At 51.7% G+C, this 16143-nt stretch overlaps 9 annotated features.

Moving 5' to 3' along the window:
* Positions 11054-11554: an enhancer, noted in NCBI's record as "H3K4me1 hESC enhancer chr16:87837714-87838214 (GRCh37/hg19 assembly coordinates)". NCBI's record gives its function as "activates a minimal SCP1, AML or CMV promoter by ChIP-STARR-seq in naive H9 embryonic stem cells {active_cell/tissue: H9 hESC(naive)}" and the evidence as "EXISTENCE:reporter gene assay evidence [ECO:0000049][PMID:30033119]".
* Positions 12604-12942: a silencer, noted in NCBI's record as "fragment chr16:87839264-87839602 (GRCh37/hg19 assembly coordinates)". NCBI's record gives its function as "represses an EF-1alpha promoter that drives an FKBP-Casp9 reporter gene in an ReSE screen in phorbol 12-myristate 13-acetate-treated (for megakaryocytic differentiation) K562 erythroleukemia cells {active_cell/tissue: K562(+PMA)}" and the evidence as "EXISTENCE:reporter gene assay evidence [ECO:0000049][PMID:32094911]".
* Positions 12604-13810: a biological region, named in NCBI's record as "H3K27ac-H3K4me1 hESC enhancer GRCh37_chr16:87839527-87840470".
* Positions 12867-13810: an enhancer, noted in NCBI's record as "H3K27ac-H3K4me1 hESC enhancer chr16:87839527-87840470 (GRCh37/hg19 assembly coordinates)". NCBI's record gives its function as "activates a minimal SCP1, AML or CMV promoter by ChIP-STARR-seq in primed H9 embryonic stem cells {active_cell/tissue: H9 hESC(primed)}" and the evidence as "EXISTENCE:reporter gene assay evidence [ECO:0000049][PMID:30033119]".
* Positions 13806-14205: an enhancer, noted in NCBI's record as "active region_11336". NCBI's record gives its function as "activates an Ori minimal core promoter by ATAC-STARR-seq in GM12878 lymphoblastoid cells {active_cell/tissue: GM12878}" and the evidence as "EXISTENCE:reporter gene assay evidence [ECO:0000049][PMID:35858748]".
* Positions 13806-14752: a biological region, named in NCBI's record as "H3K27ac-H3K4me1 hESC enhancer GRCh37_chr16:87840471-87841412".
* Positions 13811-14752: an enhancer, noted in NCBI's record as "H3K27ac-H3K4me1 hESC enhancer chr16:87840471-87841412 (GRCh37/hg19 assembly coordinates)". NCBI's record gives its function as "activates a minimal SCP1, AML or CMV promoter by ChIP-STARR-seq in primed H9 embryonic stem cells {active_cell/tissue: H9 hESC(primed)}" and the evidence as "EXISTENCE:reporter gene assay evidence [ECO:0000049][PMID:30033119]".
* Positions 14286-14405: an enhancer, noted in NCBI's record as "active region_11337". NCBI's record gives its function as "activates an Ori minimal core promoter by ATAC-STARR-seq in GM12878 lymphoblastoid cells {active_cell/tissue: GM12878}" and the evidence as "EXISTENCE:reporter gene assay evidence [ECO:0000049][PMID:35858748]".
* Positions 14456-14595: an enhancer, noted in NCBI's record as "active region_11338". NCBI's record gives its function as "activates an Ori minimal core promoter by ATAC-STARR-seq in GM12878 lymphoblastoid cells {active_cell/tissue: GM12878}" and the evidence as "EXISTENCE:reporter gene assay evidence [ECO:0000049][PMID:35858748]".

The following is a 16143-nucleotide window of genomic DNA, read 5'->3' on the forward strand; positions in this document are numbered from 1 at the left end:
ACACATGCCACCGTGCACAGCTGATTTTATTATTATTTATGTATTTATTTATTTAATTGAGATGGGGGTCTTGCTATGTTGCCCAGGCTGGTCTTGAACTCCTGAGCTCAAGCAATCCACCCGCCTCAGCCTCCCAAAGTGCTGGGATGACAGGCGTGAGCCATGTCACCTGCCCCAGTTAACTTTTGTGTATATTTGGTAGAGATGAGGTTTTACCATGGTGCCTACACTGGTCTTGGGCTGAGCTCAAGCAATCCACCCACCTCGGCTTCCCAAAGTACAGAGGTGAGGCACCATGCCCAGCATAACTTTTCCTTTTTTAATTTATTGAAAATACATAGGACTGTATAAAGCCAAAATTACCACATCACCCTGGGGTTTGTAATGTATGTAGGTGCAATATGCAAGACAACAGCAGCATGAAGCATGGGGGGTTGGGTAAATATGGTCACAAGGCTTCTATGTTTTATGTGACGTTTATATTTCTAATACTAACTCTGGGCTGGGCGCGGTGGCTCACGCCTGTAATCCCAGCACTTTGGGAGGTGGATCACCTGGGGTCGAGAGTTCGAGACCAACCTGACCAACATGGAGAAACCCCGTCTCTACTAAAAATACAAAATTAGCCAGGTACGGTGGTAGATGCCTGTAATCCCAGCTATTTGGGAAGCTGAGGCAGGAGGATCGCTTGAACCCAGGAGGTGGAGATTGTGATGAGCCGAGATCGCGCCACTGCACTCCAGCCTGGGCAACAAGAGCGAGACTCCATCTCAAACAAACAAAAAACAAAACAAAACAAAACAAAACACTCTGAGTAGACTGTGAAAAACTAAGGGTAGATGTTGCAATCCCTAGAGCAAGGAGAAGGAATAGCTAAAAAGCCATAGTTCTTGCTTCATAATGCTAATACTTGGGGTGGGCATGGTGACTCATGCCTGTAATCCCGGCATTTTGAGAGGCCGAGGCAGGTGGATGACTTGAGTTCAGGAATTTGAGACCAGCCGGGCATGGTGGCGCATGCTTGTAATCCCAGCTACTCAGGAGGCTGAGACAGAAGAATCGTTTGAACCTGGGAGGCGGAGGTTGCCGTGAGCTGAGATTGTGAATTGCACTCCAGCCTGGGCAACAGAGCAAGACTCCGTCTCAAAAAAAAAAAAAAGCTAATACTCAGAATAGAAATTCCAACTTGACCACTTAGTGGTGTGATCAGAGGCGGGTCTCTCAGCCTCTCTGAACTTCATCTGTCCTGGGAATTGAACAATCTAAGCTGTTTATCCCCCAGGGTGTCCCAGAGGATGAAATGAGGCAATATCAACTGTGCACTGTGTTTTGTAACCTGAGAAGCATTGTTAGCCTGCAAAGGGTCCCTTCCATTTGACAGGATTCTCCTGTACCAGAGATGATGGTTTCCTCCCTATCCCCCAAGAAAACAGAGACTATCTCTGATTTCAGCAAACAGCTGTGTCAAGGCCTCACATCCTTGGCATGCAGGCATGTCTCAGTCATTGGTGAGGACCTCTGATCCCACCTTCAGGTTCACGATCAAAGGGACTGTTCCCATTTCCTTGGGCAAGAAACCAGAGGCCCGGGACTTTGTACAATTTCCGAAGCAAATGTTATGCACACATACGCCTTCCCCAGCCCACAGGAGATACGCATTTCCGGAAGCTTTTGGTGATCGTGATCACACGTAGGCAGTTTCCAAAGCGTGAGGGGACCTGGTGGTGCAGGTGAGGTGGCCCGTCCCAGGTCCTACAAGGTCCTCTGGCACAGCTGGGATCCCTGCTAACTCGGCGGAAGGGCTCTCTGCTCACCCTGCCACCTCGGTGCCCTGTGGACCCTGATCAGCGGTCTGAAGCCAACTGCCCTGGCATGACCTCCCTGTGGGGTTCCCTTCCCAGCCTGAACCCTTTGGGGTTCCACTGCTCACCAGGGGTGATGCTTCAGAAATCATACTAAACAGCACCTGCTTCAGAGGTCTAACCTACCCCTGGCCCAGCCCAGGTAGGAGTTCCCCAGTCTTCATGAGCTTGGGAGGGGTGGTCAGACACCAGGAGACTGTTGCCATTCCCTGCAGTGACACTCCAGAAACCAGGCAGCCGACGGTCCCAGAGGGGCGAGTCTAAAGGGAGGCACTGCCAGGTGGGGTATCCCAGGCTGCAGGACACCCACGGAGAGGCTGAGGGTTCCGGCCAGAGAAAGGAATAGAGCAGAGCCCTCTGATTGCTCCTTCCTACAAAGTCTAGGTGGACGTCCTCAACAGCAGGTCGCTTTGCTGAGGGGACTGTCTTCAAGGGGAAGCAGCCAGAGAAATCTACCACGACCTAAACCAGCCCTCACACTTAGTCTTCGGCACATGCCAAAGGTGTTCCCTGCGTTAGTCTCCACTGCTGCCGCGCTTCCCTCCCAGCAAGCTCAAGAAAAGCCTGGCCCTGTGTGTATCAACCGCATGGTCCCCCTTTGATCTCTCTGGCCCAGCTGCCGGGCCCTGGCTCGCCACTGGGGAGGCCCTCAGTCCTCTCGCATTGATCCTTCCAGTGAGGCCACGGGAAAGCCTTTGGCACTGGGTGCTGTAGGGCACATGAGCTGGGGTCAGAGCCTTGGACCACCAACTGCAAGGGGTGCTGTGGAGGGCTCTCTGGAGACCCCCACAGCACTGAGGCTCTCGTCCCCCGACCAGGAGTTTCTCCACAAATTGTTCTCCAGGAACTGCCCTTGGCTAAAGCAATGTCACGTCCCAGGCCATGGTCCCTCCCTGGTGGCCCATGTGGAATCACTCGTCAGTGTCATATGAGAAGAATTGTATGCTCAGACCCTGTAACCCAAGGCAGCTGCCTGCTTGCCAGTGTTGTCTCAGAGCCTGTTTGTTGCAGCAACAAAAAGCACAGGCATCTCGGGGGCTTGAAAACTCAGGCTTCTTTCTCGTGTACATCAAGTCCGCTGGGGGTCCAGGAGGTTCCCCAGGGTAGCTGCTGCCAGGGGAGGGCCCACACATGACCCACGCCAACCCCTGCTTGCCCAGCCATCATGCAGAGGACAGAGGAAGGCGAACCCCAGCAAATAAGGGCTTCCACCAAGAAGCGACACCCATTGCCTCCACTCTGAGCCCACTGGCCTTCCCGAAGTCTAAGACTAGAATTCCTGCCTGTGCATAAAGAACTGGGGATTGGTGAACCGCCATCAGATCTGCCAGATGTTTCAGGAAAGTGAACATTTGTTTACATCTGTGTGGATTGGGCTACCTCCTTCTAGACAGAGCCCGGTCCCCTCAGCCTCACTGCCCTCTTTTTATTTTATTTTATTTTTTTGAGACGGAGTTTCACTCTTTTTTTTTTTTTTTTTTTTTTTGAGACGGAGTCTCGCTCTATCACCCAGGCTGGAGTACAGTAGCACGATCTTCGCTCACTGCAAGCTCCGCCTCCCGGGTTCACACCGTTCTCCTGCCTCAGCCTCCCGAGTAGCTGTGACTACAGGTGCCCGCCACCCTGCCTGGCTAATTTTTCGTATTTTTAGTACAGACGGGGTATCATCGTGTTAGCCAGGATGGTCCCGATCTCCTGACCTCGTGATCCACCTGCCTCAGCCTCCCAAAGTGCTGGGATTACAGGTGTGAGCCACCGCGCCCGGCTGAGATGGAGTTTCACTCTTCTCACCCAGGCTGGAGTGCAATGGCACAATCTCTGCTCACTGCAACCTCCACCTCGCAGGTTCAAGCGATTCTCCTGCCTCAGCCTCCTAAGTAGCTGGGTTTGCAGGCACCCGCCACCCACGCCAGGCTAATTTTTGTATTTTTAGTAGACATGGGGTTTCACCATATTATTGCTCTTTTTATAACAGATATTTTGAATGCCTCCTTTCTACCCTGAAATGAAATCCACAGAAACTATAACTTGCCAATACACGGAATTTAAAAAAATCTACACGATACATATTGGATCATACAAGCATGAGAGATAAACTGAAGCAGAAAGGAAGTATGAAAATAAAAACAATTGGCAATAAAGCAATATGAATTTCAAGATGTAAATTCTCAGGCACCGCTATGCTAGAAGACATAAAACACGAATGCTGTACTCACATGTAAATTTGCTGTCAACGCAGCAGGGACAAATGTCAGCAGCATCAGGAGCACTGTGGCTCAAATGCCAGGAGGGGATTTACTAAAATTGTGAGCCTCTCCTGGTTCCAGTTAGAACCCAGCACCTTCATCTGCATGGTAGTTTCATCTCTACAGATTTCAGAACTTATCAAAACTGGCCAAAGTGGCTGAGCGTGGTGGCTCATGCCTGTAATCCCAGCACTTTGGGAGGCCAAGACGGGTGGATCACTTGAGGTCAGGAGTTCAAGACCAGTCTGGCCAACGTGGTGAAACCCCGTCTTTACTAAAAATACAAAAATTAGCTGGGCGTGGTGGCAGGTGCCTGGAATCCCAGTGACTCAGGAGGCTGAGGCAGGAGAATCACTTGAACCAGGGAGGCGGAGGTTGCAGTGAGCCAAGATCATGCCACTGCACTCCAGCCTGGGCGACACAGGGAGACTCTGCCTCAAAAAAAAAAAACAAAAAAAAAAAACTGGACAGACCCACTTTGTGTTGATTGGCAAAAAATAATAACAATGTTAGGTTTTAGGATCAGATAGTTATAAATAGGTTTTTCACCTTTGAAAACTCATACAGGACAATCCTTCATTGTTTAGGACCTTTTTTCACATCACAGAACATTTAGCCTCCTTTCTCTTACTCCACATCCTAAGAAGGCTGCAAACACCTCCCACAAACTTCCAAAATGCCTCCTAGGGAGGGTACCACATCCAATAAGAAAACCTCTATAGGCTGGGTGCACTGGCTCATGCCTGTAATCCCAGCACTTTGGGAGGCCGAGGTGGGTAGATCGTTCGAGCCCAGGAGTTTGAGACCAGCCTGAGCAACATGGTGAAACCTCATCTCTACAAAAAAAAATACAAAACTTAGCCGGGTGTGTTGGTGCACACTTGTGATCCCAACTACTTGAGAGGCTGAGGTGGGAGGATCACCTGAGCCGGGGAGTTCAAGCCTGAAGTGAGCCATGATCACACCACTGCACTCCAGCCTGGATGACAAAGCAAGACCCTGCCTCAATCAATCAATCAATCAATCAATCAATACTTTTTAAAAAAGAAAGAAAACCTCCATCCAAGATGGTATTAGCTGTAGTGTTTTCTAGGCCACCAAAGAAGTGGAAAACATAGAAGGACTTGAGGAGTAGCGTTAGTGACACATTTCAGTGCTAGAGATTCTATACAATAAAGATAAGTGAAAGGCTGGGCACGGTGGCTCACGCCTGTAATCCCAGCACTCCAGGAGGCCGGGCATGGTGGCTCACGCCTGTAATCCCAGCACTTTGAGAGGCCAAGGGGGGGCGGATCACTTGAGGTCAGGATTACGAGACCAGCCTGTCCAACATGGTGAAACCCCATCTCTACTAAAAAAAATATATATATATATAAAATATATATATAAAATATATATAAATATATATAATATATAAATATATATAAAATATATAAATATATATAATATATATATAAATATATATATTTATATATTATATATAAATATATATAATATATAAAAATATATATAATATATAAATATACATAATATATAAATATATATAATATATAAATATACATAATATATAAATATATATATTATATATAAATATATATAATATATAAATATATATAATATATATAATATATAAAATATATATAAATATATATAAAATATATATATGTATATATATATATATATATATATATATATATATATATATATAGCCAGGCGTGGTGGTATGCACCTGTAATCCCAACTACTGGGGAGGCTGAGGCAGGAGAATCACTTGACCCTGGGAGGTGGAGGTTGCAGTGAGCCGCGATTGCACCACTGCACTCCAGCCTGGGCAACAGAGCAAGACTCCATCTCAAAAAAAAAGATAAATGAGATAAAATTGTATTGATGGAGGAGCAAGACTTGGGAATGAGACCCCAGAGGGCATAGAAAAGCCTATTTGGGAATTAGAAATAGAGGAATCCCAAGGACATATTGTTTGCTTCTCTGTAGTGGTTGAATAGTGACACCCTCCCCCACCAACGAGTATGTTCAAGTCCTAATCCCTGGCACCTGTGGATGTGAACTTATTTGGAAATATCTTCTTTGCAGATGCAATTAAGGATCTCAGGATGAGATCATTCTTGATTGAAGGTAGAGGCTAAATCCAATGGGTGGTATCCTTATAAAATAAAAGAGAGGGGGGTTTGAAACACAGAGAGACAGAGAAGAAGACCATGAGAAGATGAGGCAGAGATTGCAGTGACAGAGCTTCAAGTCAAGGAATGCCTGGAGCCACCAGGAGCTAGAAGGGGCAAGGAGGGTGTGATGGTTGGTTTTATGTATCAGATTGGCTGGGTTGTGGGTACTGAGATATTTGGTCAAACATTATTCCAGGTGTGCCTATGAAGATGTTTCTGGATAAGACTAACATGTGAGTTTGTACACTTAGAAGAGCAGATTGTCCTCTCCAATGTGGGTGGGTCTCATCCAATAAGTTAAAAACCTGAATAGAACAAAAAGGCTGTTCCTCTCCTGAGAAAGAGAGAATTCTTCATACCTGATGGCCTTTGAACTGGGACATGGGTCTGTTCTTGCCTTCAGACCAGAACTGACACATGGGGTCTTCCTGGGTCTCAAGCCTGTGGGCCTTCAGACTAGAACTACACTACCAGCTCTCCTGGGTCTCAGGCCTTCAGACTCAGACTGGAGCATTCACCATCAGCTGTCCTGGGTCTCAAGCCTGTGGGCCTTCAGACTAGAACTACACCACTAGCTCTCCTGGGTCTCAGGCCTTCAGACTCAGACTGGAGCATGCACCATTGGCTCTCCTGGGTCTCCTGCTTGCCGTCTCACCCTGCAGATCTTGAGACTTGCCAGCCACTGTAATTGTGTGGCCAAGTCCTTAAGGCACACCTCTTTCTACATATAAATGTACATCCTTTTGGCTCTGTCTGTTTGGAGAATCCTACTAATACAGAAGTGTCTGAGTTCATTTTGTGTTGCCATAGCAGAACACTGGGGGCTGGGTGATTTTTTTTTTTTTTTTTTTTTGAGACGAAGTCTCGCTCTATCGCCGAGGCTGGAGTGCAGTGGCGCGATCTCGGCTCACTGCAAGCTCCACCTCCTGGGTTCACGCCATTCTCCTGCCTCAGCCTCCCAAGTAGCTGGGACTGCAGGTGCCTGCCACCACGCCCGGCTAATTTTTTTGTATTTTTTGCAGAGACAGGGTTTCCCCATGTTAGCCAGGATGGTCTCGATCTCCTGACCTCGTGATTCGGAGGCTGGGTGATTTATAAAGAACAGAGGTTTATTTGGCCATAACTCTGGTGGCCAGAAGTCCAAGATTGGGCAGCCCATCTATGAGGGTCTTGTGCTGCTTCAAGTCCTGGCAGAAGGCAGAAGGAGAGCGAGGGGGTGCAGAGACCAAAAGTGCGAAAAAAAACCACCTGGTCTTGCAGTAACCCAGCCCCATGACAGCAAGAACTCACTTTCCCGACACAGCATTTGTCGATTCAGGAAGGATCTGCCCCATGACCCAAACACCTGCCACTAGGCCCCACCTCCAACACTGGCAAACTGGGACTCAAATTTCAACATGACTTTTGGCAGGAACAAAGCACATCCAAACCATAGCAGAAAGGATGGTCCCCAAGAGCCCTAGGAGGGAACGTGGCCCTACTGGTACCTTGATTTCAGAGTTCTGCTTCCAGAACGGTGAGAGAATCAATTCCTACTGTTTTCAGCCCCCAGTGTGTGGGACTGTTCCAGCAGGCCCCAGAACACTCTCACAAAACAAAATCAAACAGGCTAGGTGCAGTGGCTTACGGCTGTAATCCCACCACTTTGGGAGGCCAAGGCAGGCAGATCACGAGGTCAGGAGTTTGAGACCAGCCTGGCCAACATGGTGAAACCCCCATCTCTACTAAAAATACAAAAATTAGCTGGGCATGGTGGCAGGCGCCTGTAGTCTCAGCTACTTGGGAGGCTGAGGCAGGAGAATTGCTTGAACCTGGGAGGCAGAAGTTGCAGCAAGCCGGGGCTGCACCATTGCACTCCAGCCTTGGTGACAGAGCGAGACTCCATCTCAAAAAGAAAAGAAAAGAAAAGAAAAGAGAAAAGAAAATTATCCCTGTGCACTATAAATTTGAGAATGGAGGGGTCTCTAATTTCACAGCATCCCTGGTGGAGAACCCGACTTCCCATCTCCTCCCTGGTCTTCCGAGGAGTAAGAGGGAGGAGTTGATTTGCTCCCTGAGGAGCAGAACTGGAAGAGGAGGGGAGAGAAGCTGGTCACAGTTGGTCTAATACATTTTGTGTTTATAACAGGCCTGCAGTGAAGACAAGAAGAGCCTTGGCTAGAGTTCCCACCACGGCTTTAACTGGATGGACGTCTGGGAACACACATCTCCCTTCCCTGGGCTTCCATCTCTTCACGTCTCAGTGAGGATGTTGACTAAGCAGATCTCCTGGGCCCCTTTTCCAGCTCAAACCCGTGGGTTCTCTGACCACTGGAGTCAGAGCACAGGCCTCTGATGGAGATACGATGTCACAGAGAGGTGTCTGGCCCAGAAGACCCCAGCGTCAAGCTCCAAGCTTCTGCTCCAAGTCAGCCTGGAACAGAATCCTGGAGAGGGCGGGTGGACCTTCAAGGAGGAGGCAGCTCCCGTCACTGGGCTGATGCGCCTGCCCAGAGGCCTCCACAGGAGGAGCCTGCAGGGTGCGGGCCACCCCCAGGCTGAACTGCTCTCTCACACGGTCTGAACTGGAAAGGGCCTGAGACCTTCAGCGGACGAGAGCCACCCCTCACCAGGGAGCCAGTTCCTCCACCCCCACCTGGGTGCCCTGCAGGTCCCTCAGAGACCAATGACCACCTAAGAGGCTGTGGCTACAGCTGTTTCCTGGCTGTTTCCTCTCAACTTGAGAAAGTCCCATGAAACAGAGCAGACCTGGCGCTGTTTAGGGGGCGGCCGCCAGTTACAGCGCAGTTCCTCTCCCGGGCTCCAGGACCTTTCCAGGAGCTTCCACCCCGGTTCCGCTGCTTCCTGCCTCACACAATGACCTGGTCCCCTCCATCCATCTGCCATCTGCACACACTGAAATCCATGGGTCCCCAAGCTCCTGCCACGGCACTTCTGCCATGAGGCCTCCCAGGATGACCCCTTAACTCCATCTTTCCAGGAAGACACCTGCTTAGTCAATTCCACAGCACCTGGACAGACACACGCTCCGTCAGTCACAGAGAGCAGCCCTTGCTGTGCAGGCACAGTGGCTCATGCCTGTAATCCCAGCATTTTGGGAGGCCGAGGCGGGCAGATCACTTGAGTGAGGTCAGGAGTTTGAGAACAGCCTGGCCAACATGGTGAAACCCCGTCTCCACTAAAAATACAAAATTAGCTGGGTGTGGTGGTGCTTGCCTATAATCTCAACTACTTGGGAGGCTGAGGCAGGAGAATCGCTTCAACCCAGGAGGTAGAGGTTGCAGTGAGCCGAGATCGTGCCATTGCACTCCCGCCTGGCAACAACAGCAAAACTCCATCTCAAAAAAAAAAAAAAAAAATAGAAAAGAAAGAAAGCAGCTCTCGCTGCCAGCTGGTCACAGACACTGGGTGCTGAGATGGACCAAGTCCCACTGCACTCCAGCCTGGGTGACAGAGCGAGACTGTCTCAAAACACACACACACACACACACACAAACACCTGTTTCTCTGTGGGCATCTGCTGCCTCTTGCAGCCTGACCGTTATGCACTATGATACCCGCAGAGGCTGTTTCCTTTTTCTTCTTTCAAAATGTGTCTCCTCATAGCCCATGCAGCACCAGGAGCGAGGGAGAGAAGGAAGAAAGTGGCCGAGGGGCACCGACCCCATCCCTCCACAGCACACCCTTCACAGTGGTCTGTGCTGTCACTCTCTGGGTGTTCGTCTGCCTGATGAGGCTGGCAGCTCCCAGAACGCACTGGTGGGGGTTCATTCATTCTGGGACCCTCCAGTTCCTGGTACAGGGCCCTGCATCAGATCACACCACCCAGTCCACATAGCACGGGATGGGGCAGAGATGACCACACACTTCATTCACCCTCCTTGTGTCATACGATTCTGGAAGAGTAGAATCCAGTGGCAGTGACACTGTGCCAATTCCAGGCCAGGCCCCAGGAGGCTGGCAGCTCCTACATCCCTTCTTCCCTTCTCTCAGAACAGTCACTCTGGAGCAAGGAGCTTCCACGTGAGAAACCCCACTACCCTCAGACTGCCAGGTGATGGGGAGCTCCAGGCAAGCCCCATGGAGCCCGCGTAGAGAGACAGTTGCCTAACTAGCCCCAGGGGTTCCAGCCCTCCCAGTGAGGGGCCAGACACGTGGACAAAGAAGCCTTGAGAGGACTCTAGACTCAGCCACCACCTGACTGCAAGTGCATGGGAGACCCTGCACAAGAACCACCTGGCTGAGCCCAGCCTGTCCCAGACTCATGAGCTGCTACACTATTGTCCTAAGCCATTACGTGTTGAGCTGATTTGTTCTGCAGCAATAGATAGCCCAAGAAGTGGCTTGGTGAGGACCAAAACAGGCTCCCACTCTAGGGGGGACGCATTGTTAAACAGCACTCCCTCTGGGCTGACACAGTCCACAGGAGGCTAGTGGACACCACCTCTGTGCAGGGAAGCAGAGGCCCCATCTTTGAGCTGGAGGAGGCCCAGCCAGAATGCACAGGGTGCCCATGAGTCGCAGGCTGGCGCCAGGTGCTTTTGTACAGTGAACAAACTGTGCAACTGTATGTGGTGGCCCTTCCTAGAGCTCTCATTGCAGACAGGAGGCAGGAAGAGTCTGATGAGAGCTCCATCACCGTCCTTCACAGTATCCTTACTGACTTTCATCCGCCCAGTCCACAGAGGGGCCCCTTGCTCATGCTGGGGAACTCAGTGCAGCAGGGACCTGGCAGAATGCTCAGGCGAAGGGAGGTGGGGTGCCAGGAGACCATGGAGAAGGGCGCTGGCTGGGCTTGGCAACACACGGGTCAGGACCTGACTCTACTTCCCGGGCACAGGGCTGCAGTCACTGCTTGTCCCAGCCTTGTTCGCCCGACCAAGCTCTTTTGAAGTTCAATGCCAGGAACATTAACAAGTGTGCTGATCTGGAACTGAGTGCTGCCTGACCCCCATCTTTGGCTCTTCTGCCCCGGATGCACCTACCCCACTCCCTGGTATCCCTGCCTGTCCAGAACTGCCTGGTGTCATTATCCAGCCCTGCCCCGCCCAACCTGAAGGGATTTGCCTCCCAGCCTCCAGATTCTCTCTCTGCTGTGTCCACCCTGTTCTGGGCCCGGGGGCCTCTCTTGCCTTCAGGGGCCTCTCTTGCCCACGGGGGCCTCTCTTGCCCACTGTGGCTTCCAACTGGGTTTGTGGCTGGATTTTCTTCCCCAGCTCCCCACTGGAGCTCTGCTGTGGGGCATGCTTCTCCAGGAAGGCCAGCAGCCCCTCCCTGTTGCAGGGATCTCGGGACCTTCTGGGCCCTCCCTGTCCTCCCTGAGCTCGGGGTCCCTGGTCCTGCTCTCTCGAAGCCTCGGTTTCCTAGGCCCTTCCCACACTGGCGAATACTCTCTGTATCCCACCCTCCTCCCCACCACGTTCCCACCACGACCCTGCCTGAGGAGGGTCGAAAAGAAAACAACATGGCTTTGACTGCTGTCCTGAGGCTTCCCGGGATGACCCCTCGACTCCACCTTTCCAGGAAGGCACCTGCTTAGTCAAACACATAGCACCTGGACAGACACTTTATCCCATATCTTGGGGTCTGATGGGCAGGGGCAGCATGTGGAGAGAGAGGGCGGATGGGCCGTCATCCTTCCTTCCCCAGAGGCTGACCTTTCTCGCTGGTCTCTGGGGCCTCGTGGCCATGGGGCCTCCAACGCCGCCCAGCCATGTTGCTGAGGGCGAGGCACCAGGCCTCTCTGTGGCCCGCTTCCTCCCATGTCATAGTGGTCATCATAGCCCTGCCACCTGCCCATCTGCCTGTGGCTCACCCAGCTGGGAAGGAACTGAGAGTTGTGAGATCCACACACACTCCCCAGGCAGGGGCTCTCCCCGCCCTGACCTTGGTGCATGGACCCCTGGCCTTTTTTTTTTTTTTTTTTTTTGAGATAGAGTCTTGCTCTGTCACCCAGGCTGGAGTACAGTGGCGCGACCTTGGCTCGCTACAACATCCGCCTCTCGGGTTCAAGCGATTCTCCTACCTCAGCCTCCCAAGTAGCTAGGATTACAGGCATGCACCACCATACCGGGCTAATTTTTTTTTTTTTTTTTTTTTGAGACAGAGTTTCACTCTTGTTGCCAAGGCTGGAGTGAAGTGGCACGATCTCAGCTCACCACAACCTCCACCTCCCAGGTTCAAGCAATTCTCCTGCCTCAGCCTCCCGAGTAGCTGGGACAACAGGCATGCACCACCAGGCCTGGCTAATTTTGTATTTTTAGTAGAGACAGGATTTCTCCATGTTGAGGCTGGTCTCGAACTCCTGACCTCAGGTGATCCGCCCGCCTCGGCCTCCCAAAGTGCTGGGATTACAGGCATGAGCCACCATGCCAGGCCAATTTTTTGTATTTTTAATAGAGAAGCGGTTTCACCATGTTGGCCAGGCTGGTCTCGAACTCCTGACCTCAGGTGATCCACCTGCCTCGGCCTCCCAAACTTACGGGATTACAGGTGTGAGCCACCGTGCCTGGCGGGCCCTGTGTTTTGATACCTGAGAAGGTGCAGCTCACCTGGTTCTGGAGTTTAATTGGACCCTGAGTTCTCCCAGTGGAAGTCTGAGAAGGCCAAGCTGAGCTCGATGGCTGTCAGAATCCTCATTTACATTGGATGAACAGGGCGCAGTTTCCCCTGCTCCGGAGGATGGTGGGGTGAGGTGGGAGCCCAGCCTGGGGGAGTGGGGGCAATAGAAGCTGTGGGAGCAGCAGCCCCCCAGGGGCCAGGACCACGAAGCCTCCAGGGACGAGCAAGGAGGCCGCAGAGGGCCAGGCATCAGAGTGGAGAGCAGACGCACAGGACACCCAGAGAGGCCCCTGCCCCTACCTCGCCCCCTCCAAGAACATGCTCTTCCAGTGAAGTCACTGCAGCCCCACTCCCTCCCCACACGGAGGAGGAGGCAGCTTTAGGGTACCTAGGACACGAAGGTGACCAAGACACACCACTGTGGTCAAGGGGCGTGTGGCTGAGGACGACATCTGTCAACCTCCCTTACCATGACTCACGTTCAGAAATCCACAGACATACGCATACATGTGTCGGAAACAAAAGTGGCACCGACAGTTCTCTCAAAGGAGCCGTGTTCTGCGCAGACACCCGCAGCCCCTGTCCAACATACAGCCAGGTAAAGCTGCAGCCGGGCCTCCCGGCACCCCAGGCCCCTCCCTTTGCAGCCGGGGCACGGCCCACAGCTCTTTAAAAAGCCCACTGCCTTACATCCCCACGCTGTCCTGCAGAAGACTGCAGTCAGGTCTTCTGCCTCCCAGAATCATTTCCCCAGCAGCCCGGCGGCGCCCACCCAGCCCCAACGGGGCCTGTCCTGGGAGGTGCCTGCAGGGCGGCTCTTGTTTTCTTTCCCACTTCTGTGCCCACGTGCATTTGTAAGGGCTCCGGGAGGAGGGGGCTTCCCTTTTCTGTGGGTCTCTTTCAGGTCCTCCTTCCACAGAGCTACACAAGGCCCCACTAATTGCTCTAATTGCCTTGCCGCCACCTGGTGCAGATGCAGCCGCCTTTCCAAACGGAGCTGCCGGGCAGGGCTGTAACTCATACTTCCTGCTTGAATCATGTCTGCCTCTTACATCAGCCACCAGCCTCTTTTTCATCCAGCATGGGAGGGTGCAGCTGGGGCAGAGCTGCCGTTGATGTAAAGTCACTAAGCCCTGGGGGCTGGGTTCATGAGTGGGATGGGAATGGAGGTGCCCCGGGGGCTCCTCTTTCTCTCCAGAACATGCTGCACCCTTTGTGGGCAGGTTGGCACCTGTACAATTGGAGATAATGGGTGTCATACGGTCCAGTTGCTCCTCTGAGCTGCTCTGACACGCACCTGCCCTCACCTGGGACACGGCAGGCTCCCCTGTGAGCCACCCCTGGAGGCGCGGTTCCTGGAAGCAGGGAGGGAGGAGGGCAGGGAGGTTGGGGTGGGGCCCTTTAAGGAGTCAGCCCTGCCCTTTAATCCTCACAGGGACGATGGGAGCCAGGATGGCTGCCAGCGTTTCGAGATAACGCCAGCCATGCAGGGCCTGGAAGGGGGAGCATCACCCAGGCACCTCACAGAGCACACATATGCAAAGCCACACGGTCCACACCCCAGCAGACACGGGAGAGAGGCTTCGCACCACCAGCTCCCAGTGATGATGCTGCCTGCCTGCAGCCTGGTGTTTGCAGCTGGACTTAGTTCTTAACCAGGGGATACAGCAATGTTTAGAACAGGGGTGTCCAATCTTTTGGCTTTCCTGGGCCACCCTGGAAGAAGAATTGTCTTGGGCCACACATCAAATGCACTAACAATAGCTGATGAGCTAAGAGAAAATCACAAAAAAAATCTCATAATGTTTTAAGCAAGTTTACGAATTTGGGCTGGATGCAGTGGCTCATGCCTATGATCTCAGCACTTTGGGAAGCTGAGGTGGGTGGATCACTGAGGTCAGGAGTTCGAGACCAGCCTGGCCAACATGGTGAAACCCCGTCTCTACTAAAAATACAAAAATTAGCCAGGCGTGGTGGTGCCTGCCTGTAGTCCCAGATACTTGGGAGGCTGAGGCAGGATAATTTCTTGAACCCAGGAGGCAGAGGTTCCAGTGAGCTGAGATTACGCCACTGCACTCCTGCCTGAGCAACAGAGCAAGACTCCATCTCAAAAAAAAAAAAAAAGTTTATAAATTTGTGTTGGGCCTCATTCAAAGCTGCACTGGGCCACAGGTCGGACAAACTTGGCGTAAAATATTTTTGGGTTGTCACAATTAACTAACGGGGAGGTTGCTGCTGGCCTCCAGTCGGTGGAGGCCAAGGATGCTGCTAAGCATCCTGCAATGCACAGGAAACAACCAATTAACCCCACAGTGAAGAATTATCCAGCCCCCAATCCCAGTGACCAAGACTGAAAAACCCGGGCTGGGAGAGACAGTGCTGCCATCGATTGCTTATGTCTGCCACTGGTGCAGACAGGGTGGTGGTGATGCCTGCAATCCTAATCCCACCCGGCAGACTGTCCTGAATGTATAACCCATCTCACCTCCCACTGTTCTCTCTGGGACCTTCACACCTATAGTCTCCTTTGCTCTGTGAGCTCCAGGTTGAGGAGAGGTGCTTGGACCTGGGCCACCATGTTGCACAACTGCGTAGGTTCTGCAACATGTTGGCCTCCTTTGGATTGTTGTTGTCTTGAGGATGGTTTTTATACAGGCCGGGAGTTGAAATCTCAAAGAGCTACAGGGCCCAGACCCAGGAAAGAGATGAGTGAAGTGGGCAGGTGGGAATGATGGTTAAATGCAGAGGCGTGCCACAACCAAGGGGCAACAGCCTTCAGCCCCCGCCACTTCCAGGCTCTGAGGATGGTGAGCCCCAGATTACTAAATCTTTCATTTTTTTAAAAGGAAGTAAAAAATGTGTTTTTCTTTTTTAAATGTGAAATTGGCCGGGTGCACCTTGACCTCCAAAACTGCTGGGATTACAGGCATGAGCCATCACACCTGGTCAGGAATCTGTTTTTTAAAAGATTTTAAACAATGTTCTTTATCTTGATAGGGATTCGGGTTAACAAGTGTATGTGTCTGGCAAAACTCATGAAGTGGTGCCTCGTAGGTAGTTTGCTTCAGTGTATGTGACTGTACACAAAGAAGAAAGAAGGAAGGGGTGGAAGGAAAGGAGAAAGGGAAAGAGAGGACCATAAACCAATGCTGAACACTAGTTGAAGCCCAAGTCCAGTATGATTTCCAGAGGTTTCCCTAACACCCGCTATCCCATAACTCAACCATTTTACCATGTCCTGTGCCACTGGTATTCTTTTTTTTTTGAGACAGAATCTCGCTCTGTCACCCAGGC

Source organism: Homo sapiens, chromosome 16, assembly GCF_000001405.40.
Source record: "Homo sapiens chromosome 16, GRCh38.p14 Primary Assembly".
Taxonomy (NCBI): Eukaryota; Metazoa; Chordata; class Mammalia; order Primates; family Hominidae; genus Homo; species Homo sapiens.